At 35.0% G+C, this 25,172-nt stretch overlaps 1 long non-coding RNA gene across 14 annotated transcripts in view; it reads right to left on the bottom strand.

Annotated features, from left to right (window-relative positions):
- The window catches only part of LOC105375387 (uncharacterized), a 52,989-nt gene that overhangs the window by 7,089 nt on the left and 20,728 nt on the right, over window positions 1-25,172 (bottom strand). For 7 of the 14 annotated variants that reach the window (NR_187912.1, NR_187918.1, NR_187921.1 and 4 more), the window contains exon 2: window positions 20,171-20,227. This is a non-coding gene — a long non-coding RNA (uncharacterized LOC105375387). Of the gene's footprint in view, window positions 1-14,786; window positions 14,936-15,265; window positions 15,391-20,170; window positions 20,228-25,172 lie in introns of all 14 variants that reach the window. The other 7 variants (NR_187924.1, NR_187919.1, NR_187922.1 and 4 more) reach the window with 2 other exon arrangements.

Genomic DNA, 25,172 nt, shown 5'->3' with positions numbered 1-25,172 from the left:
TATTTCTATGCTTGTTTAATGTTTGTTTCTGACAACTAGAATGCTCATTTTATAAGAGCAGAAAATTCATCTAACTTGTTCATCCCTGATTTCCCAAATATTATCATGTAGTAGGTTGAGAATGTGTTTGTTGAATAAATGAAGGTATGAATTATTAAGGAAAAATAAAAGGATTATAGTAATTTCAAGACTAAACGTACATCTTTAAAAGTATTGTGAAATGACTTGAAACATTACCTGATATCCTGACCTGCCTGGTATTATAAAAGCTCATAGAATCATACTGGCAAAATAAATGAAAATTTCCTGCTAAGTGACCACTGAAATCTTTGAATATGCCTTTTTTTAGATGTTCTAAATGTTGTTGTAATAATACTTTCAATTCTTCTATGTAGTTTCAAGAAACTTATTAAGTTACCTGGGTTTAGTGAAGAGAAGAATATTGCTACAATGGCCAAATATATCTCAGCTACAATGCTACATGCACAAAGAAACTTAAAGAATTACAAATGACAGTACAGCAGAAAATACTGGTTAACTGATTTTTTTTTTCCAAAAATGATCTGAAACCATGGATTGTCCTTTGCAGAAGTCTTCAAATTTATCATACAACTTTTTAATAAAATAGCTTTAGTCTTATTTGAAAACCCATGGTTTTCTGACAAGTTCCAAAGATAAAACATCTATTCAAGCTAGAATTGCAAAAATAAATGTAATTTTACAGTCTACATATAACCACAGATACAAAAACATTAACCAAGAAAGAATTGCTCCTTTGTTAGAAAGAAAATTGCAATTATTCATTAAAGTTAGTTAACAGAAACTTATTTTTGTGTTCCTCTATCTAACTGAGACTTATGGCTTATATATTGATTTCCATGTGGATATTTTAGGGAAGATAATTTCTCCACTCATACAACTTGGACAATCATTTTGCAAAATTAATGAGACCTTTTAAAAATGGGAATCCAAATAATTTAGCAAACTCTAATATCTGATCACTACATACTTTCTGTTATTTTTAAAGTTTCCCAACTACCACAATCATCAGTTGACAATATTTGGAAAGATTAATATAAATTATTATTCTTTTTGAGTTGCTTTTTTTGAACTTCAGTCAGTGTTAGACTTTTATATAGTGCTTATAGTAAATATAAACTGTTTTTTCATGCCGTATTTTCATTGGCATCTGTATCTGTTTAATAATCCAATTTGCTGGATGCTGAATGGCTTAAAAATATATTACTAACAACAGTTCGGCCAATGAACCTGAAATTGTCGCCATTAAAGTGCACCTTTGACATTGAGTTATAGTGTTTCCCTGAGTCATGTGTTAAAATCCCAGCATACAGCTTTGGGAAGGATAACCTTTTAAACTAATGTTCAGAAAATTATGGCCCACAAGCCAAACATAACCCATTGCCTATTTTTGTACATAAAGCTTTAATGGAACACATTAAAGAGAGGCACATGCAGCACTAGCCATCTCAAAGGTAAAAGTGAGGAGGAAGAGTTGAAATCAATAACAGTGGACCAAAAATTAACTTCTACTACTAAATCAATCATTTTGCCAATCACAGCAAAAAATAAAGGGGTAAAATTTGAAAAAAAAAAGTGAATTTTTAAATGAGTTTCTATGTGAGTCACTATAAATTTCCATGGCTGTTTAATAATTCCCTAGTTTAGCACAAAGTTCATAGGATTACACATATTTTGAGCTTTAGTTGATCCAGCAAAAACAGTCTTGCAAAGAAGTACAAATTCACACTGCAAGCAGCAGTATGTGAGACTATTTTTCATCTTTTTCATTTTAACATTTTTAGGGTATAGTAGGTATGCTACCATGGTTTTGATTTGCATTTCCCTAATGACTAATATCTTTAAGGACCTTTTTAAATGTGCATTGATTATTTGGATATCATTGGGGATGTAAAAGATCATTTACATTTTTTTCTTTGGCTTGACTTTTGTTTCTGATTGATTTGCGAGAATATTTGTGTGTTTTTTCTTTGTACTGCAAATATCTTCTCTCACTCTCTGACTTGCCTTTTCACTCTTTTAATGGTGTCTTTTGATTGACCGAAGTTTGTAATTTTAATTACATTCCATGTGTTCCATGTTTATGCTGGATACTTTTCACATTCTTTTCAAGAAATATTTACTCTGTAGTGATGGAGTTTTAAATGATCCACTAGACAGAAGTTAGTAAGGATACAGAAAATCTCAAAAACAAGTAATAAGTTCATCTGACTCAGTAGTATAGAACCCTATACCAAATGATGAGATAAAACATACTTTTTAAAAGCAGATCTTCTTTGGGTCTCTTTCATAATAGCTAGGTAAGCACAGCCAATACCAATCAATATGTGCCAATATTGTTTTTATTTTCAAATACTTCTTGTAGTGCTACAAGTTTATTAGATACATGTTTAAGCAAGTTATAGCACATAACAGCTTCATAAGTGTTGCTCATGTGTAACATGGATTGTCACCTTTCTCACCACTAGGACTCTAATATTACCCCACATCCACCACATTAGCATTGGCTGATAATCCTGCAGTTACAAAAACACCCAAACTCTCACTGGGTTAGTGAAAATATATTTCATGCTACTGCCACATGCCAATGCAATTAAGCATTGTGTCACAGTCGTTATAGAGACAAGGGATACAGGCAATATAAGCTTCATCACAACTGAGAAGATCTAGAAACACTTGTTAAATAGCATTGCTGACTACTATGTATGTGTAACACTTGGAAAACTTTCCCAAGTAACAGGTTACATGACATATCGTAAGAAATATTCAAGAAACTGGATCACATAGAATTATATGCCTGGGGTAGTTTTGTTTGGGTTGCATCTGTTTGGTGATCTCTGACCTGCCTGTACCTGGATATGTATATCATTCTGTAGGTTTAGAAAGATTTTTGTTACTATTTCTTTGAATAAGCTTTCTACTCCTTGTTCTTTCTCACCTCACTCTTGAAAGACAATGACTCAGATTTGCTCTTCTGGGATTATTTTCTGTATCTCATAGGCATTCTTCCTTCCTTTTCTTTCTTTTTTTTTTCTCCTCTGTATGTTGTCAAATAGCCTATCTTCAATCTCACTGATTATTTTTGATCAATTCTGCTGTTGAGACCTTTTGATGAGTTTTTCATTTCAGCCAATGTTTTCCTCATTTCCAAGATTCTGTTTGTTTGTTTTAATTATTTCAACCTCTTTGTTAAATTTTTCTGATAAATTGCTTTTGTGCTTTATCTTGGAGTTTGCTGAGTTTCCTCAAAACTGTTATTTTGAATTATTGATCTAAGAGTTCTTATATTGCTGTCTCATTGGGTTGGTCACTGGCTCCTGGCTTTGTCCATTTGGGAAGGTCATAATTCCTTGTTTGCTGTTGTTTCTAATGGACACCTGTTTCTAATGGACACATGTTGTTTATGTCTTTGCACTGAAGGATTAGTTATGTATTCCCAGCTTTCCTGTCTGGGTTAGTTTGGCCTTTCTAGTCTATGTATGTTTAGAGTATCTATGCAGTTTGACTGTTGATTTCCCTTATTCCTAATTTGCTGCCTCCTTCTTGGCACTACATGGTGCCCTAATTTCAAGTTTGCCTCAGCTTTTACAAAAGTTTGATGTGCCATTTGTCCTGAATTGGGGTCGGGGGTAGGAACCCAAAGGGGATTCCCTGGCTGTGTAGAGAGGCTGGTTAGGGGTTCATGCCAAGTGTTGCACTACCTCTTTGATTTGGCATCTCCTTTGTCTGAGCTGGAGAGCAGTGCCCATGTTTTGTGCACTGGGACTGCTAACCCCACCTCCACTGTCTATTTCCAGCAGCCTTTTAGGGGTTCCTCTCCCTAAAGGCACTCAAGTTGCTTTAAGTGGGTTGAAGAAAAAACAGCTTTTCTGTGTAGGAACCCAAGATGATGGGGAAACCAGCTGTCTGCTGCAACATCGCATTTTCCAGAGATAGTGACTCCAGGAGAACTTTTCTGTGAAGTGCCTGATAGTTTGGAGGAAGCATGTAGCACATGGAAAAGTCCATTTCTTCTACCCTCCCCATGCAGTTTACTTCCCTGTGGCTCAAGGATTATCACAGCCTCAGTTTTGAGTTCTGGAGTACTGGTGGTGATAATTTTGGCACTGGACAGGATTTTGTTTTGTTTTGTTTTCTGTGGGGAGGGTGAAAGCAGATTACTTCTACTTCACCATTTTGTTGTTGTTGTTGTTGTTGTCATTGTTGGTTTGAGACACAGTCTCGCTCTGTCACTCTGGCTGGAGTGCAGTGGTGCGATCTTAGCTCACTTTAACCTCTGCTTCCCATGATCAAGCGATTCTCGTGCCTCAGCTTCTCAAGTAGATGGGATTACAGGCGTGCACCACGATGGGCCAGCTAATTTTTTTTTTTTTTAATTTTTAGTAGAGACAGAGTTTTGCCATGTTGGCCAGGGTGGTCTCGAACTCCTGGCCTCAAGTGATCTGCCAGCCTCAGCCTCCCAAAGGGCTGGCATTACAGGTGTGAGCCACCACACAAGACCCAACTCCACCATTTTGGTGACATCACTCTCTTGGGTCACAAAGAAGTAATCAAAGTTTAGTTATATTTAAAAGTTAGAAATTAATAGAAAGTTAACACACACTTCCCAATGTATTTGGGTTAAAATATAATCAGGTATAATCTTCCAAAAAATTCACAGACCAGATAAGGAGTTATATTAATAATAAAGATTAAAATACATTTTGAACTAATAACAATGAAAATACAATGTGTCCAAATTTGTTAAATGTGTATAAAGCAATAGTTTCACAAAACTGGCATGAAATGCTTACATCAGAAAAAAATAAATATTGAATATTTCTTGAAGTTTTCCAACTCAAGAAATTAGAAGAAAATAGAGAAGGTAAAGAAGATAAACAAATAAAACAAAGTTAAAGAGCAAGAGGTAATTAAATAGAAACTTTAAAATAGAGATTAAAGACACCAAAATATTTTATTTTAAAATAACTCAAAATGTTGGCAAAATTGACCAAGTAACAAGGTTAATTAGTAACTGAATAATTACCAAGTAATTTCATAAGTGTGAAAAGCAAAATTGAAAATTTATAGAAAAAACAGAAGTGAAAAATATTTGTTAGATGTTAGGGGAGAGAAATAATTTTTAAAAAAATAACAGGAAAAACAAACCAAATTTAAAAAGATTTACAACTAAGATTACATTAAAATGAAAACTTTTATATGATGTAATGCACAATTAAAGTGAAAAGAAAAGCTGAAAAGCACAATACTAAAATAATTCATTTCAATAATTTACAGATACCTTTGGAATCAGTAAGAAAATAAAAACAACCCAAGGAAAAACTGGGCAAAATTATGAAAATGTAATGCACGTAGGAGTAAACTAAATTCCGTAATACTCAAAAAGATGCTAAACCTCAGCAGTAATCATGGAAATGTAATTAAAACTAAAATGGAATACAATTTCATATTATCTCAATTGGCAAGTGTACTAGATCCAATAACACCAAGGGAGATCATGGGTAAAAAGGAACCAAGCAATTACATTAAGTATGAATCATGAAGAACCTCTTGTACAAATGCACAAGCTTACAAACAGAAACAAGATCATTACCAAATTAGTTTGTAATAGAATAAAAATCAAAAAGACATATGCATGAAAATGGGTAAACATGCTATGAAATACTCTATGAAAACGGACAAATAAACATGCAATAAACTACTAAATAGTTAAAATAGATGAATTATAACTACTGAAAAAAACATGAATAGAACTCAAAAAAATTTATGTAAAAATAAAAAAGAAGAAAGAACATGATACTAATATGTTAAAATATATGCATATTTAAACTCTTTAAACAGTACTTTATATTATTTATGGATACATACAAATCTGGTAAAACACAAAAGCATGCCTGGGAATGATAGTACCATTTTCAGAGTGGAACTTAAGTTGAAGGCAATCATATGAAGGGTTGGAAAGCTGACCCTAGCATTTCTAAGATTTTATTTTAAAAGAAAAACAGAGATATGAATCAAATATGGCAGTGTTATAATTTATTCAATTAACTCTCAGTGGTATTTAATTAGATGTTAGTTTTATTATTTTCATATTGTATATATTTTATAGTTTAAAATATTAAATATTAGTTTATGATAAAAAATCAGAATTAATGATAAAATACGTATCTAAATTTTCAAAATTTTCATACTACTATTCAGTCTCATTCTTGGTGACCTATATTCTAAAAATATTTATCAGAAAAAAGAAGCAAAGCATGAAGAGAATATATATGTATTTCTTGAAAGTCTAAATGTAGCAGCATAAATTTTAAGCCACCTATTTGTTCCACAGAAGAGAAACAGTTAACTAAATTATGATACAGGTATATAAATACAATGGATCATTGTGCACTCTTTTTTGTTAAAGCAATGTGAAAATAGAAAATATTTAACACATAATCCTTTTAGCTTGAATTTTACTTTTTTCTATGGATACATGATACTTGTACATGTTTATGGGGTACATGTGATATTTTGTTACATGCATATAATGTATAATGATCAAGTCAGGGTATTTAGGATATCAGTCACCCTGAGCACTTAGCACTTTTATGTGTTGGGAACATTTAAAATCTCTTCTAGCTATTTTGAAATGTGTAATATGTTGTAATTATAGTTATCCTGTTGTACTATTGAACATTAGAACTTATTCCTTCTATTTAACTGTATGTCGGCATCCATTTTCCTACCTTTTTTCATCCCCCCATCACCACACCCTTTCTATCCACAGGTAAATGTCATTCTACACTCTACCTCCATGAGAACAAACTTTTTTAGATCTCACATATGAGTGAGAACAAGCAATATTTGTCTTCTGTGCCTGGCATGTTTCACTAAACACAATGACCTCCAGTTCTATTCCTATTACTGCAAATCACTGGATTTCATTCTTTTTATGGCCAAATAGTATTCCATTGTAAATATATGCCACATTTTCTTTATTCATTCATCAGATGATGGACACTTAAGTAGATTCCATATCTTTGCTGTTATGAATAGTGCTGCAAGAAACATGGGAGTGCCTGTAGCTCTTTGATGCACTGACTTCATTTCCTTTGGATAAACATCCAGTAGTGGGATTGTTGAATCATATGGTAGTTTTATTTGTAGTTTTTTGAGAAATCTATGTACTGTTTTCCATAATAGTTGTGTTAATTTACATTCCCATCAACAGTGCATAAGAGTTCCCATTTCTCTGTATTCTTGCCGGAATCTGTTATTTTTTTTTCTGATAATAGCCATTCTAACTGTGGTGTAATTCTATCTCACTGTGGTTTTGATTTGCATTTCCCTGATGACTAGTGATGCTGATCATTTTTTCATGTACTTGTTGGCCATTTGTATGTCTTCTTTTGAACAATGCTTATTGCAACCCTTTGCCCGCTTTTTAATGGGATTATTTACTTTTTTTGGTGTTGCATTGAGTTCCTTGTATATTCCGGATATAGTCCCTTGTTGGATGAATATAATCTTACTAAAAGTATAAAATTTTGTGATTGCAACTATATGAAGCTATAAATCCATGTAGACAAAATGAAAACAATTGTGTTTCAATTCAGAAGTAATAAGTTAAAAATCATTTGAAAATTAATACTTGAGAATGCAGGGAAATTATAAAGCAGATACACATGATACAAAAACAGATGAAAATATCAACATTACAATGGAATATGGGTCTTTGTACTGAGTGGTACCAATCAAATTTTGGAAATGGATTCTGATGCTTTGCTTCTCTAAATTTTGATTCTAGCAGGAAAAAAATGAAGCAAAGTTCTTATCAGATATTATTTGGTACTTATTTTATGGTTACAAGAAATGTAATGATTACCAGGAAATATCCTGCAACTACAAATGAAGGCAAATGGAATATTCGTTGCAGGGCAATGATAATCCAATGTTGAGAGATGGAAATGAGGAAGTGTTTGAATTCCAAAGCTGATCTAGTTCCAAGGCGTAATACACATTGAGGTCTTGTGGCAAAATCTGCCATAAAATTTGCTGCCATTCTTTCTAGCACAGTGTGTTCCACAGAGCATATTGAGGCCTCCTTTATTCTGGACTTTCCATTGTAAACACAAGTGCCCAATAATATAATAATCTTTACCTTCCTACAGGAAGAACAAGTTATTTGACTTCCTGCCCACATTCTCATTAAATGCTGAAAATTTGTCAGAGTACTCTCTGGTACAATGATTTCTATTGCTATATTCAGAGTGAAAACAAACCTTTTCATATATATATATGAAAACAAACCTTTTCATATATATATATATATGAAAACAAACCTTTTCATATATATATATATGAAAACAAACCTTTTCATATATATATATATATGAAAACAAACCTTTTCATATATATATATATGAAAACAAACCTTTTCATATATATATATATGAAAACAAACCTTTTCATATATATATATATATATATGAAAACAAACCTTTTCATATATATATATATATATATATAATACTTTAAGTTCTAGGGTACATGTGCACAACGTGCAATTTTGTTACATCTGTATACATGTGCCATGTTGGTGTGCTGCACCCATTAACTCGTCATTTACAAAGAAACTCAAAGGATAAAGTTAAGTTTAAAGTGGAGTTAAAATTGATATGTCTCACAAATGTTTTCGTTATTTCAAATGTACAAAATATAAAAGCTGAAGAAAGTCAATAAAATTAAAGAAACTATGAAATTGATTTGATTTTACACAATTCCAAGTGGTAGCTTTAAATAAGCCTCCCTGTTTCAAATAAATTGCCTTGAGCAGAGCTCTTTATAAAGTAATGTGCCATTTACCAAAAGCTTGTCTTAGTGTTCTGCTCAGTGAATACCTTCCATTAAGGTTGGACCAATTACAGAGTACAAATGCTGTTTCAATTTTTTTATTTCCTGCAGACACAAAGGTCAAATGTCTGAGAAACTCTTAGGTGGACTGAGTTTTCATTTTGTTCCAAATGAGACTGTATAATTTCTTGGGATGCTCCTAGTTCTTAGAGAAGGGTTTTGAAGCTCATGACACATTCATCCATTTTCAGGCTAGAGTTGAACAAGAGACGGATTAGTTATAGGGATTTTTTGCATGATATAGCAACTCTTGAACTAGTGGCATGTTGTTAGTAACAAATAAATTTCCCAGTACAAATTGTTGGTTTTGTTTCAATTTGCAAAATTAATTTATAAGAGCAGTAGGTGGATAATGTCTACCTCTTTGCTTATTAATTACACAGCTGATACATTAATTTTTATTGATAGATTTTCAGTACCGTTTTATACTAATTGCACTAGATGCTGTTGCTTTTGATGTCTCTTTGGCTACAGTCTTTCTGACCAGAATATTTTATAGTATTCTGAGCATATTTCTATGGTGATTTCATGCATCCAGTGAATACCGGATTTCTATTTCCTATTTCAATACCAACTTCACCGTCTTGAAATGATCAACTTTTTATAAATTGTATCTGAGGGGAGACAAAATAATGAATAAAAGAGTCAATACATTTAACATTCTTTAGTAGAGGTTAACATCTCTATTAAGATGTAATCCCCAAGAGGTTAACATACAAATATAACTAGCGCAGCAAGAGTAGAGACACATTAAGTGAACTCTGCTACAGTTGGCTATTTTTCTACTACTGGTCTATTTTTTCACTTATTTTGTACATACAAACTCAGTGTTCTTGTCAGCAATGAATAGATACTTAATTATTCAATACATTTCACATTTGAGTGAGTTCAAGTTAACTTGACTGCCAACTTCTAAAGATGATAACTTTGCAAAGGCCCTTGAGAAATATGATTTAAAATGCTGTACTGTTCTATGGGTAAAAATGTGATTTCAGTCAACCCTCTCTTCCTGTTCCTAGTTAAGTAAGTAGAGTGATGACAGAGATAATCTATAACATCAGGGATATTCCTGTGTCATACAGGTTTGACTTGAAGAATACTGAATTTTCTAAAGCAAATTTATTTTCTGGTTTGGCTTGGTTGAAGTTAACATTCAAATGTGTTGGTTTTCCCTTGGAGAGTAAAACTTGAAATATGTTTCCATGGAAAGTGGAATTTGAACTATGTTGGGTGCCAGGGTAAATGAGCCTGGAATTGCTGTATGGTGTAGCTCACTGGTCAAAATATTGATGGTCTGTATTGACTTATAATGGATAAAAAACTATATGAGCGTGGCTTTTCTAAATCCATTACATGCAAATAATGTGCATTAATTTCATTTTTCTTAATTCATTTTAAAGCACTTTTGAGGTTATGTCAGTTGAACTTTTCAATAAATTATGAGGCCTTAACATAGACCATTATAAAAAGAAACAATTTGAGAAAAATTTTAATATATATAATAGCCATAAAAAATCCACTTTTTGCTTATAATAATGCCACTTTTTTCTTCTAAAGAGTTGTTCCAAAGATGATACTAGTAATGCTTAGCAAATTTACAGCACTTTTAACATTTCATGTACTCTCAGAGTTTTATAATCTGCATATATAGTTTGTCTTTAGTCCTACATTTGGTATAAAACTTACTTTAAATAAAAAGTATAATTAATTGATATGTGACCAACCAATCTGTGAACCTATACATCTTCAGTTCCTTGACTTCAGAATCAATTGTTATTTTCTTGATTCCCTCTTTAAGGGCTGCCTTCAACTTTTCCTCTTTGAGGAAATAACTTTAAAAAGAAATGATAAGGGCCAGGGCAAAAAAAGTATCTAGGACTACGGTAAATAGTGGAATTTCTCCCATGTAATTTATATACAAAAAATACAAGGGGTTATACACTTGGGTTCTTCTAGTTACCTTTAGACTCTCAGTCTTTTAGGGTTATTCTTTTTTCATGATTATCATGTTATATTCTCAGGGTATGTTCTAAACTTTATTCATTTTCACAAACAATTTATCTCTGGTTTAATGATATCTTTTATTGAAATCATTGGTATACATCCACCTGGTGGTATTTATTAATAATATTTGTATCTACATTATTACTTAAGTTTAAGACAGTCTTTATTCTGGGTTTCGCAGTCCAGGTAAAATATTATTTTTCATTAAACCACTCCATTTTGTACATTTTTAAATGATTTTTCTTTTATTTTAGTAATTTTTCTATTCTTTAAATTTAAACTTTCTCTATGGATCCCAAAATTTTAATGTTTATTTTTCTTCCCTATTATCAGTCATCATTTACTAAGGAAAATATAGCCACTACCAGAATTATGATAATAGGTTATTTAATGTAGGAACCAGAACTTATGAAGTGGGAAAAGGTGGGAAAACAAAGGTCTGTAAGCCAGCACCACAGAACTGGAGAAGCAATCACTCAATCACTGATGTCAACCAGAAGCCAGATTTGGTGATGAAGCCCAAGAAGGCATTATGCCTGCCTGCCATGACCATACGGTGAGAGCTCATAGAGAAGTCTGTTAAGTCAAGTCATGCATTTGACTGCCACAGGAACAAGGGCCTTTTTTTTTCACTGCTATCTTCTAAATGTTGTGAATTTCTCTGATTGGCAAACCAACCCAAAACCATACAGGGGAGGTGATTCTGGGAAATGTAGTTCCCAGCCTTAGAAGGGGTTTATGGAGGTGCCACGTTTACAACTGACAATCCAGCTTTCAGAAAAAGAACAACATAGGCAACATACAAACACAAAACAAGTGAGAAATGTACAAGTATTTTCTTATTTGTTTTGGGATATATTCGTGGGCATTACTAAGGTCATCCAAATTTATGAAATATCAATTATGAAGTTAATCTTTATTCTGTATATTTGTAATAACCAATTAGATAATAACCAATTGTTCACAACATACTTTTATAGTTTAATGTGATTTGGAGAATTAATAAACTGATAATTCAACACCAAGACCCAAATTCAATGGTAATAGTCAGATAAGTAATAGTCAGAAAAGACAAATATTTATTTTGATATTAAAATGAGTGCTAAAAATATTTCCCAAGTAGGGAACCTGGACTTCTATCCTGATCTGACAGTTAGGAGACCTATGGAGTTAATATAATTATGAGGCTAATTGAATACATAATGCCCATGTCATATAAAAATAAATAGTTTGATCCTCCCTATTGATAGGGACAGAGAAGGACAAAATTGCCAACACAATATCAAGTACTAGGATATGTGTTGATTTGCTGTAGTAAAGTTATCACATCTAGTACAGTAGCTACGATTGGGGCATGACCTAGGTAATATATAGTAGATTACTGCCATCTGAATTTTGCAAATATTAAATCGGTAATTTGAATAGAGACATGGTAGAGACCAACTACCTTGCATCTTTTAATGCTTTTTACATTTTGAGACAGGGTCTCATTCTATCACCCAGGCTGGAGTGAAGTGACAAGATCATGGCTCACTGCAGCCTCAACTTTCAGGTTCAAGTGATCCTTCCACCTCAGCCTCCCAGGTAGCTGGGACTACAGGCACATGACACCATGCCAGGTATTTTAAAAAAATTTTTGTAGAGATGGGGTCTCACTGTGTTGCCCAGGCTGGTCTCGAACTCCTCCCCTCAAGCAATCCTTCCCTCTTGGCCTCCCAAATTGTTGGGATTACAAGTATGAGACATTGTGCAAAGCTGCCTTCAATTCTTTTAATAGTGATGCTAATTTCTGCAACTACTCAAAGTATGCAATATTGCTCCTAATTTATTCTCTGTGACCAGTGAATATATAGGAAGTAATTTTAGGATCTTTTATTTGACTATTCCTACCATATTCAAGTCAGCTAACCAATACAAGATATGAGAATCCTTCCAGATGGTGGTATATATATTCCAATTATGCATTCAAGGACAAGAGGAGTAACACCATGGTTTTCCATGGACCTGCTGGACCAACTGTCAGAATGACTTGAAAAACTCCATTTGTCACCTGTTATTCATAAACTCCATTCTAGCAACAGAACTGAGAGGGATTTTTGTTTGCTGTTGGATTGATTGATTGGCTTTTGTTTGAAGATTTGTTTGGTTCCATTCTATCTTTCTTGGCGCATGACAGTCTCTAGCAATCCTTAAAAACTTCAGTAATCCATTCTTCCCACTTGGTGGTTACCCTGGGAAATGCCTGTACTCACTTTGGGGAAAACTGGAGGACTATTTCTTTCATAAATACTTGTGGTGGCACAGTAGGGTCCTCCCTCAAGTGTTGTAGGCTTCCTTTCAATCAGTGGGCCTTGGTCTCTAAACTGACTTAAGTATTCAAAAGAGTGGGAGCCTATAATTTTTCACTGCAGGACTGTTAACTTTCTTCTTGCCAGACCTTGACCATTTTGTTACACAAATGGAAGGATATCCTTGCCAGATGTCTATCTGTCAAACTCCTAGGAACATCATGATTGATTAACCATCATCTTATCTCCTGTAGGAAAAAAACATTATTGCCTGAAGTAATTACGCCTTCCTTGCTTCTCACAGCTATGTTCTGCTCTTCGGGCTATGCTTTCCTGGAATCCCATTATCCCTATTGATATTAAATACCCTAATTCCGTGGCAGTCCCTCCTCCTGCCTCTGGACTGCAGAGGTCAGTCATCACTGAAATTCTCAAAGTTCAGATGCTTCCCTCGTCAAGGCATTCCCTACCACCTTAATTTTTTTTTTAAGTATCTTCTGGACCTACTGGACCTACAGATAGAAAGATTGATTCTTCTTAGTTATTACAGAGTAGATTCATTCTGAATTTACTCATCTACTAAAATCTGAGACTTTCTTCAATACAATGTCAAAGAATTTATATCATCTCTATGTCATTTGCTCTAGATTGTTATACCCAGGCTTCAAGAAGCGATTCCAGAAAATTATGTCCAGTTACAGATATTTTTGCCAACATTTCAATCCTAAGTCATAGGTGAATACCTTCTTGTCGATGAATTTTTTTCTATTTAATTTCCACATTTTCATCTCTTGTTATAACACCTTCAGGATCCATGAGCATTCATTTCAATCTGTGTGTGCTAGTTCATATTTTCCAGGCTTCCTCTTTCTTTGACATTTAGAGAATTGTCTTTCAGCCTACATGGGATGTGCTGAAACCTGATTCTGGTTAGCCTGGAGACAATAAGTGTTGGTGGAGTGAGAAGAAGAGCAACATTTTATTTGATATCTACCTCAAATGAGGTCTTTGTGTGGTCTACTGGCAAAAAGGAGGCTCCGATAAGTGGTAAGGAACTGCCTCTGCCAGCCAGGAGGGGTAAGAGGAACTTGGAGATTCCATAGTCTTTGGCTCTTCTACTCAAATATTTCCATTCTAATCAATTTTCCTATTATGATCCTGGCATTGACATCAGAGATGCTTCCGATTTCATATCTACTGAGGATATGACACCCTTATGCTTATAATCTGGAGTTAAGTTTAAGCATTTTCTGCTATGCAGCTGCAGCATATTAGAATCTCGTTTAAACTGCAGAAGATCTCTGGCTTTCACAGCATCTTTTATGCAGCTGCATCGATCCTATTATTTTATTTTGCTAGATCTCTGATGTCATTAAAATAGGCATCTGAAATTACAATCTTCATAAGTATCATTGTCTCCACAGTGATCAAATGATGTACCCATTTGATTTCCCCAAGCCTTGTTCACAATTAACCATAGGCCAGTGTTTAACAATTGTGGTACCACTGCATGTCAAGTTATTATCATCTTCACTTTGTTATTGTCATCTCACTTACCAACAGACAGGTGAGCAATCCAATAATAAAATCTCACTCTGAAGATCTGCATTTGTGGGATACTCTTGGAGCAAACTGTCTTGGTCCAGATTTCTTAAAATTTACAGCCTGATTAAAGATTGTGAGTGGCTTTATTTGGAAATGCAGTACTGGGAAAAAGGAAATGAAATGAAAGGAAAGGAAAAAGTGAGGCAAGGCAGAGCAGAAGAGAAAATACAAATTGATACATTATCCAACTGGCCACAGCTTCAAAAATATAACACAGCCAGTTTCAAGGTCATAAGGCTCATTTTTCGGACAGGATGTATAAGCCCACCCCATCTTGAACAGTTTCACAGGCAGCGAAAATGAAAGGGATTAATTGTTCATTCTTTTGTCTATCTCTGGTTCACTACAGTGTATTATCTTTCCCAGGCTTCTAGGTTCTGTTACCCAGGCCTTTACTTGGGTAAACCAGATTGCGTGAGGTGATTTTTCACCTGAGTCAGGAAGAGTTAGAGGAGACAAGAGCCTCTGTGAATCTGACCAAGTTGTGCTTTGTGCATCTCACTGAGGCATGTACAAAAGAGAACACACCAAAGTCCATCCTTTACCCTGGAAGAGACTGAGAAAGAGATGTTAGGAGAAAAAGTGAAGAAAGTAGTAACAAGGTCACTTGGTTGGTCCAAGATTTTGGAGACAGGCAAAACTGAGATATCTTGAGAGGCATATAAACTTGCTTCAGTTCATTATCTATTTTTGAAATCTCCTTACTTTCATTTTTAACCTCTTTTACTGTCTATATTTCTGCAAATCATTGAATCATGTTTTAATGAAACTGGACATATAACCCGAATTCAAAGTGTCTTGCATTTGTAGGAGTTTTTTGAGCTAATTAACATATGAACTATCCACAACTTATTTTTTTATGCTGAGAACACTTAAAACCTACTCTCTTAGCAATTTTCAAGACTACAATACATTGATATTAACCATAGTCACCATATTGTACAATAGATTTCATTAATTTATTCCTCCTGTCTAACTTAAATTTTGTGTCCTTTGACCAATATCTCCCTAATTCCCATCCCCAAGATGTCTTGAATTTGGAGAAAATTAATTATGAAGTAAATTTAGAACATCTTAGTTGAAGATACCTGATATATAAGATGAAATTTCAAAGCTTAAGGTCGGAGTGAAAAGTATGAATTTAAGAGTTACAAGTTGTAATGTGGGTATGCAACTGATAGCATAGAAAGAGAAGGGAAAACTGCCAAGGGCTGAAAAGTCTATATTTTACTGACTACAGATGTATGGATTTGACAGAGGGCTTCTCATCCAACCTTCATCAGTTTTCCCATTAATGAAACCTAAGAGTAAAGGAGAAGAAGCAATTTTTCAAGCTACATAGACCTGAAGATTAGAAGTGAAACTAACATTTGACTAGCAGTTAAGGAAACACTTCCACAAATATTATTTTATTTAATTCTTACTACGGCCCTAAAAGAAAAGTATTAGTGTAGTTGGTAATATGTATTTCCTCTAAAAATTTCCATTCCAACTGCCTTCTAGGTGGAGAATTTGGAAATTTAAAAACTAACTTTCAAGATTTCCTTAATCTGGACCGTTGTATATAAATTAACTTTCACAAATTAGTTATACTGGTTTGAGATTAAAAGGTCACAAATGTGATGGAGCCCATTCTCTTGGTCTCTTGGTGATATGGTTGCTGGCTAGCACAAATGTAGGGATCGGGAAATTTCGGGATAACTATAGTGACTGGTTTGATCCAGGGCCTGATGAGTAATTGGGGGTGGCAATTTTCTGACCTCAGATTTGTAGCTCTATTGGACATAGCCTAGAAATCAATAGTCAAATCAGTTATTTAAGATTCTACAATTTTGCTTTCCCAAATATTCTGTACAGTCTCTATTAAATCCCTTCTGCCTGAATATTGACATAATATCTCATATTTAGTTTAACTTCTTCCTATGTTGGGATAATTGTAGACACATGGAATGGTAAGAAATAATACAAAGCAAGCCTTTGTACCCTTTAAACAGTCCCCCCAACCATGGTAATATCTTGCAAATTATAGTACAATATCTCAACTGGGATATTAATATTGAAACAGTCAAGATACAGGACATTTACATCATCACAAAGATCCCTCATTTTGCTTTTTTATAATTACACCCAATCCCCTTACACTCTGTTTCTTAACCCCTGACAACCACTAATATGTTCCATATTTCTATAATTTTTTCATTGCAGGATGGTTATTGTATTCATTGGCTAGGGCTTCCATAACAAAGTACCACAGACTTGGTGGCTTAAACAAGAGAAATTTATGCCCTCATAGTTCTAGAGCCTAGAAGTCCAAGTTCAAGGTGTTGGCAGGAATTTTTTTTTCCCTGAAGCCTTCTCTTTGACTGTTAGATGCCTATCTTCTCCTGGTGTCTTCACATAGTCTTGCCACTGTGTGTGTGTGTGTCCTAATCACCTCTTATTTTAAAGACACCAGGCATATTAGCTTAGGACCCACCTTAATGACCTATTACCTTACTAATCTCTTTAAAGACCTTGTGTCCAAATATAGTCACATTCTGAGGTACTAGAATTAAGATTTAAGCATACAAAATTTGAAGAAACATATTAAGTCCATAACAGTTTTTAAATGGAATCATTTAGTATGAAACCTTTGGGGATTAACTGTTTTTCACTCACCATAATTCTCTGGAGGTTCATTGAGCTCATTGTGTGTATCAATAGTTTGTTCTTTTTGGTGCTAAGCAGTATTTCATGATAAAGATATCCAAGTTTCCTTAACAATTCACTCTTTGAAGATCATCTGGGTCCTTTCTAGTTTTTAACTATTTTGAATAAAACTAATAAACGTTCATGTACATGTTTTTGTATGAATGTCAGTTTTTTTTTTTTCTATGGAAAATTGCTCAAGAGTACAATTGCTGGGTTATATGGTAGTTCTATGTGAGGTTTTTTAAAAAAATTTCAAAATGCTTCTTAGAGTAATTGAACCATTTATATTCTTACAAGTAATTTAGGAGTGACCTAGTTTCTCTGTGTCCTCACCAGCATTTGGTGTTGTCACTTTTTTCTCTTAGCCATTCTGATAGATGTATAGTGATACCTACTGTGATTTACATTTGCATTTCCCTGAAGGCTAATGATGTTGAATAGCTTTTCATGTGCTTATTTTCCATTTGTAAATGCCTTTTGGTGAAATGCCTCTGCCTGTGATTGCTCGTTTTCTAATCAGATTGTTTATTTCTTTATTGTTCAGTTTGAGAGTTTTTATAAATTCTAGATACTTGTTGTTAGATATATTGTTTTCAAATACTTTCTCCTGGTCTGTAGCTTGTCTTTTCATCCTCTTGGCAGCTTTTTGCAGACCAAAATTTTTCATTTCAATGAATTCCAACGTATCAGTTTTTCCTGTTACTATCATGCTTTTGGTTTAAAATCTAAGAGTTCTTTGCCTAACTCTACATTCTGAAGACGTTCTTTATCCAATTCTTCTAAGAGTCTTAATTTCGCTTTTTACACTTAAGTTTGTGATCTATTATGTGTTAATTTTTGTGTACAGTGTAAGATTTGATTATTTTGGTCTATGGAGTTGTGTGTCCAATTGCTTCACTATTATTTGTTGAAAGAGTTATCCTTCCTCATTGAATCGCTTTTGCACCTTTGTCAAAAATCAGTTGGGTAGATTTGTGGGTGTCTGTTTCTTGGTTCTCTATTCTGTTCCGTTGATCTATATAACTATTCTTCTACCACAGTCACATAGTACTGATTACTATACCTATATGTTAAATCTTGAAACCAGAGAAACAGATTCCTTCCATTTTATTATTCTTTTTCAAAATTGATTTAGCTATTCTATATATCTTGTCTATATCTACAAAAAATATAGAATTTTGGTAAGAAGTTTTTTATACCTGTATATTAACTCGGCAAAAATTCATGCTTGCTATGTTGAGCCTTCTAGCCCATAAATATGGTATGTCTCCTCTTCATTTACTTAGCTCTTTCTTTTTTGATTTTTTTAATAAAGTATTTTTAGTTTTCAGGATACAGTTACTATAAATTATTGTTAAATATACTTGTAAGTCATTTTTTTAGAAGTTATAAAAGATATTGTATTTTCAATTTTGGTATCCACGTTTGTTGCTAGTAGATAGGAATATAATTGATTTTTGAATTTTATCTCGTGTCATGTGACCTTGCTAAACTGATTAATTCTAGAATTTTTAGATTGAATTTAAATTTTTACATTGACAATCATGTCATCTGCAAATAAAACACTTTCATTTTCCCTTTCTGATCTGCATGCCCTTAATTTTTATTTTCTTGCCTTAATCCACTAGCTACAATTTCTAGTGCTTATTGAATAAAAATTCTGAGAGCATATATACTTGCCTTGTTACAGATCTTAGGAGGAAATGTTTCAAACTTTCACCATTGAAGGAAAATGTTAGATGTAGGATTTCTGTAGGTGCTGCTTATCAAACTGAAGATTTTTCTACATCAATTGATATGTTTTTTAAAATTAGCTAATTAATGTGGTGGACTATATTGATTATCAAATATTGACCTTGTTTTGCATCCCTGGAATGAACTTCACTTGGCTATGGTGTATAACATTTTTATATTGTTAAATTGTATGTGCTAATAGTTTTAGTACTTTGTGTGTATTTCAAAAAAGGGCCCATTTCATCTATTTTGTCCAATTTATGTGCATAGAGTTTTTCATATCTTCTTGATGTTTGCAGGAATTATAGTGATATTCCTGTTTCATTCATGATATTTGTACTTTGTTTTCTCTGTTTCTCTTTTTCTTTCTCTGTTGTGCTACATATTTGTCAGTTTTATTGATGTTTTGCAAAGAACCAGATCTTTGTTGTATTGGTTTTCTCTATTGTTTTTCTGTTTTCTATTTCATTTATTTCTGCTCGTATCTTTATTATTTCTCCAATTCTACTTGGTTTGGATTTATTTTGCTTTTCTTTTTCTAGATACTTGAAGTACGAACTTAGAATATTTCCTTTTTCTATTTCATGCATTTAATGCTGTAGATTTTTCACTCAACACTACTTGAGATGTGTTCCACAAATATTGATATATTTTCTTTTATATGCAGTACAATGCATTTTTATATCTGACCTGAAACATAGTCTTTATGAATTACTTAGAAGTGTGTTGTTTAGCTAAAATGATGTTTATTAAATGAATATATTAATCTGCAGCTACTATGCCTTAGATGAAACTATGTACCTGACTATGGAACATCAAGTAATTACGCAACTAAAGTTGTCATCCTGTGGGTAACAGACTTGCTAACTTGTAAGTTATGAACAGGTGTTCTACATTCCTTTGACACTTACCTCTTTTGCACTGATGCTTCTATCTTGCTTCACACCTGTAGTCTCATGGGGGTTTCCCTACAACATAATTAAAGTGAAGAAAAATGCTCAGGCCTGGTTTACAGAAATGTAAGCATGATATGATGATACTAACTGGAGTTAATCTGTTATTCATTATAGTTCCACTAAAGGGTGATTTTTAAGAATAAGGGTAAAGAAAAATCCTTCCAGTGACTAGATCTATGAGGGGTGCACTTCAACATCCACTTTATATGAAAAGAGAAACAGTCATAGATAAAGATATGCACTTATTCCTAGGAAATAATATCTTGGATATTTAATCAGGCATCTGAAAAAAAATCTGATACATTAAAGGAAAGTAGGCCAGGAGACTAGCAGCCCAAGAGCAAACTTATTTTACTGAGTTGGGAAAGTGACTTTGACCAGGGATACCTACAGTTACAACTGCACCATGGGGGAAGACAAGAATAGACCTGGAGCCTAAGTGATTAACTAGACTGTCTTATGGTATTTCCATGACCAATGAAAATTGTGAATAGATATTGGCACAACAACAAATCATACTTCTCTGAGTTTGAATTTAATATCTAGGTCACTCCAGAAAGCAAGCAAACCATATGAGGGAAGATGATGGCTAAGGATGAAGGAAATCTTGACACCATGGCTAGCTGCTGCATTGCAGACTATAGTTTCAGTTTGCTAAAGTTTGTTAAGATTTTTAAAGAGGTTGAACCTGCATGTTCCCTTTTATGGAAGATATGATACCATCCTGTTCTTATATAAGATCCAGATATCATAAGAGGATGCAAGCAGAAAGGCACAAGGGATGAACTGTACCAGCCTCAGTTTATCTGCCTCTTTAAGCCTCTGCCTTTTGCTTATTGGAGAATATAGCATGCCACTGCCTTTATTTTCCCTTCTGACACTATTTACTGCTAAAGCTTGTTTGGAGGTAAGAAGTGGAATGTACCAACCAGAGTCCCTCTTGGTATCACCATAGTGGGCCACCGCAACTCTAACACCGAAGTCTCACCCAGAGGAACACACACAAGTTCTGTTCCTGTCCAAAGCTTTCTGACCTAGAGGAAGACATCCAGCCTTAGGGAGTGACATACAGCTTTTCCAGCAATTGCCTGGACAGGGAAAGGAAGAAAATCCAGGAAAGCAAGAACTTTAACGCCCATGGGGAGAATAAAAACGAGGGACCGGAGACTTTAAGAATCTGGAAAGTGAATGTCTTTTCCATCCTCCTCCTGATGGACTATACTGAAGCAACGTGATTCTACGTGTCTTTTCTGGAAGACACTGCTTTTGGCAAACAGCCAGCTGTGTTTTCTAACTCCATGGCCAGGTTTGTATCACACTCCCAAATACTTTTACTTTCCCGTCTTCTAACCTCACTTCCTTTTCCTTCCTAACTAACTCCTCTGGCCTGGAATTTTACCTCTCAATAAACCCTTTGCATATAAGCTTTTCCTCATGTTCTATTTTCCAAGCTAACGCTGGGCAAAAAGTAAAATATAGTAACAAAATTAGTATGAAGTAAAATAGGAAATGTAAAATAAGGATATTGAATTTATGAAACAAAATACATATGTATTTTCCATATAAATATTGGAGGTCTACATTCTGGAAGCCAGCATAAAGAAGGAAAAACACAATTCTTGAATAATTCACAAGTCTAGTAACAAAGAGAATGATCAGAATTAAATTACTCTGCGAAGTGACAACACTTTGGACAATTCTGGACTTCTTAAATGACAGAAAATACCTTGTCTTAATCAATGTGTTAATATTTATGAGGTCCTAGTACTACTAAGTAATCCTGAAATGTTTCCAATTATTGTCATGGAGATTGGAAAATAATCCAGGTAGTATGCCAGGTGCTGTAGTACATGCTATGTTCTGACGAAACAAAGCTTGCCATCCAAAACGTCTATAAACAAACGTGTGTTTGTGTGTGTGTCGGGGGTGTGTGTATAAGATAGAATAGCATAGTTTCTAACACAGGTAAACTGGGAATTTAGAGGGCGCACAGAGAATAAATTAGTTACTTCTACAACAGAACAGCAGGGAAAAAAAAAAACATTTAAGTATAGTGCATATGGAAACTTAAAAAAAAGTGTAACAACTATCATGTGAGGTGTGCAACCATGAAACCTTATGGAAGATTTGAGCAACTCAAAGTTGGACCTTTGGGGTCTAGAATATGACTGAATATGAGTGGTGAGTGATGATGTTTAGTAGGTAAACATAAGGCAGATTGATAGACTGCACAGAACCATTCATAGCATGTAAAAGTTTTAGTTCTCCTGTTGAGAAATGGGAGGGGTAAGATATAACATTTAATAGGAAAAGGGAGGGCACATTGCATAGGACCATTTATACCATGAAAGGGTCTGTACTTTCCTGTTAGGAATCATCGAGGGACCCGAAACAGTAATGTAACATATATTTCATTTTAGAAAAATCATGGTGTCACTAATATTAAGGATATAAATGGTTTTGGAAAAAACAAAACAGGCAAAACTAGAGGTGAGAAATCACTTTGTACTTTATTATGACAATCAAGTCAAGTCAGGAGGCAACAGAAGCTTGAGTTAAGGCACAGCAAGAGCTGTAGAAAGGAACTGCTAAGAGAGATAGCAGGTAGAAATTATGGAGGGAAGTGTAGCACTACGTGGATGCAAAAGAGAATCCAAATATGATGATGATTATCATCATAAAAAATTATAGAAAGCTAACTTTTTGTAGGTATTGCATTAAGCACTTTTCATGAACCCATATATTTATGTTTGATTTATGTTTACTGATCAGCAAGATAGCAGTACCATTCATAGTAATTCAGTAAATTTAGGAAAAACAAGTTTATAGGACAAATGCACACAGTGGATACTCTTCTACTTTTTGATTTGAAAAATGCATTCACAACAGAAAGCCCCCTCTTTTTTTGTAAAATAAAGGTACTATAATCATAATAAATATTATAATGTGAGGCTATGCTATTATTGGCCTAAGGTGTTCAAATTTGGGTTCATGATGGCAATTCCAGTCATTGCGACTGAATATTTTCAATTTGTTTTTTGCTAAAATTCTATTAAAGCAATAAGTTAAAAACTTAATATTAGGGAGGGAGCCAAGATGGCCAGATAGGAACAGCTCTGGTCTACAGCTCCCAGAGTGAGCTACACAGAAGACTGGTGATTTCTGCATTTCCATCTGACATACCGGGTTCATCTTACTAGGGAGTGCCAGAAAGCGGGTGCAGGACAGTGGGTGCAGCGCACCGTGGGCGAGCCGAAGCAGGGCGAGGCATTGCCTCACTCGGGAAGCGCAAGGGGTCAGGGAGTTCCCTTTCCTAGTCAAACAAAGGGGTGACAGATGGCACCTGGAAAATCGGGTCACTCCCACCCGAATACTGCAATTTTCCAACAGCCTTAAAAAAATGGCGCACCAGGAGATTATATCCTGCACCTAGCTCGGAGGGTCCTATGCCCACAGAGTCTCGATGATTGCTAGCACAGCAGTCTGAGATCAAACTGCAAGGCAGCAGCGAGGCTGGTGGAGGGGCGCCTGCCATTGCCCAGGCTTGCTTAGGTAAACAAAGCGGCCGGGAAGCTCGAAATGGGTGGAACCCACCACAGCTCAAGGAGGCCTGCCTGCCTCTGTAGGCTCCACCTCTGGGGGCAGGGCACAGACAGAAAAACAAAAAGACAGCAGTAACCTCTGCAGACTTAAATGTCCCTGTCTGACAGCTTTGAAGAGAGTAGTGGCTCTCCCAGCATGCAGGTGGAGATCTGAGAACCGGAAGACTGCCTCCTCAAGTGGGTCTCTGACCCCCGAGCAGCCTAACTGGGAGGCACCCCCCAGTAGGGGCAGACTAACACCTCACACGGCCCGGTAATCCTCTGAGACAAAAATTCCAAAGGACCAATCAGGCAGCAGCAATTGCGGTTCACGAAAAGCCACTGTTCCACAGCCACTGCTGTTCTACAGCCACCACTGTTCTACAGCCACTGCTGCAGATACCCAGGCAAACAGGGTCTGGAGTGGACCTCTAGCAAACTCCAACAGACCTGCAGCTGAGGGTCCTGTCTGTTAGAAGGAAAACTAACAAACAGAAAGGACATCCACACCAAAAACCCATCTGTACGTCACCATCATCAAAGACCAAAAGTAGATAAAACCACAAAGATGGGGAAAAAACAGAGCAGAAAAACTGGAAACTCTAAAAAGCAGAGTGCCTCTCCTCCAAAGGAATGCAGTTCCTCACCAGCACTGGAACAAAGCTGGATGGAGAATGACTTTCACGAGTTGAGAGAAGAAGGCTTCAGACGATCAAACTACTCCAAGCTACAGGAAGAAATTCAAACCAATGGCAAAGAATTTAAAACCTTTGAAAAAAAATTAGACAAATGTATAACTAGAATAACCAATGCAGAGAAGTACTTAAAGGAGCTGATGGAGCTGAAAGCCAAGGCTAGAGAACTACGTGAAAAATGCAGAAGCCTCAGGAGCCGACGCGATCAACTGGAAGAAAGGGTATCAGTGATGGAAGATGAAATGAATGAAACGAAGCGAGAAGGGAAGTTTAGAGAAAAAAGAATAAAAAGAAACGAACAAACTCTCAAAGAAATATGGGACTATGTGAGAAGACCAAATCTGCGTCTGATTGGTGTACCTGAAAGTGATGGGGAGAATGGAACCAAGTTGGAAAACACTCTGCAGGATATTATCCAGGAGAACTTCCCCAATCTAGCAAGGCAGGCCAACATTCAGATTCAGGAAATACAGAGAACGCCACAAAGATACTCCTCAAGAAGAGCAACTCCAAGACACAGAATTGTCAGATTCACCAAAGTTGAAATGAAGGAAAAAACGTTAAGGGCAGCCAGAGAGAAAGGTCGGGTTACCCACAAAGGGAGGCTCATCAGACTAACAGCTGATCTCTTGGCAGAAACTCTACAAGCGAGAAGAGAGGGGGGGCCAATATTCAACATTC

This window comes from Homo sapiens, chromosome 7, assembly GCF_000001405.40.
Source record: "Homo sapiens chromosome 7, GRCh38.p14 Primary Assembly".
In the NCBI taxonomy this organism is placed as follows: domain Eukaryota; kingdom Metazoa; phylum Chordata; class Mammalia; order Primates; family Hominidae; genus Homo; species Homo sapiens.
Note: the sequence above shows the minus strand (reverse complement) of the source record. Positions and strands in the feature narration are given on the sequence as shown.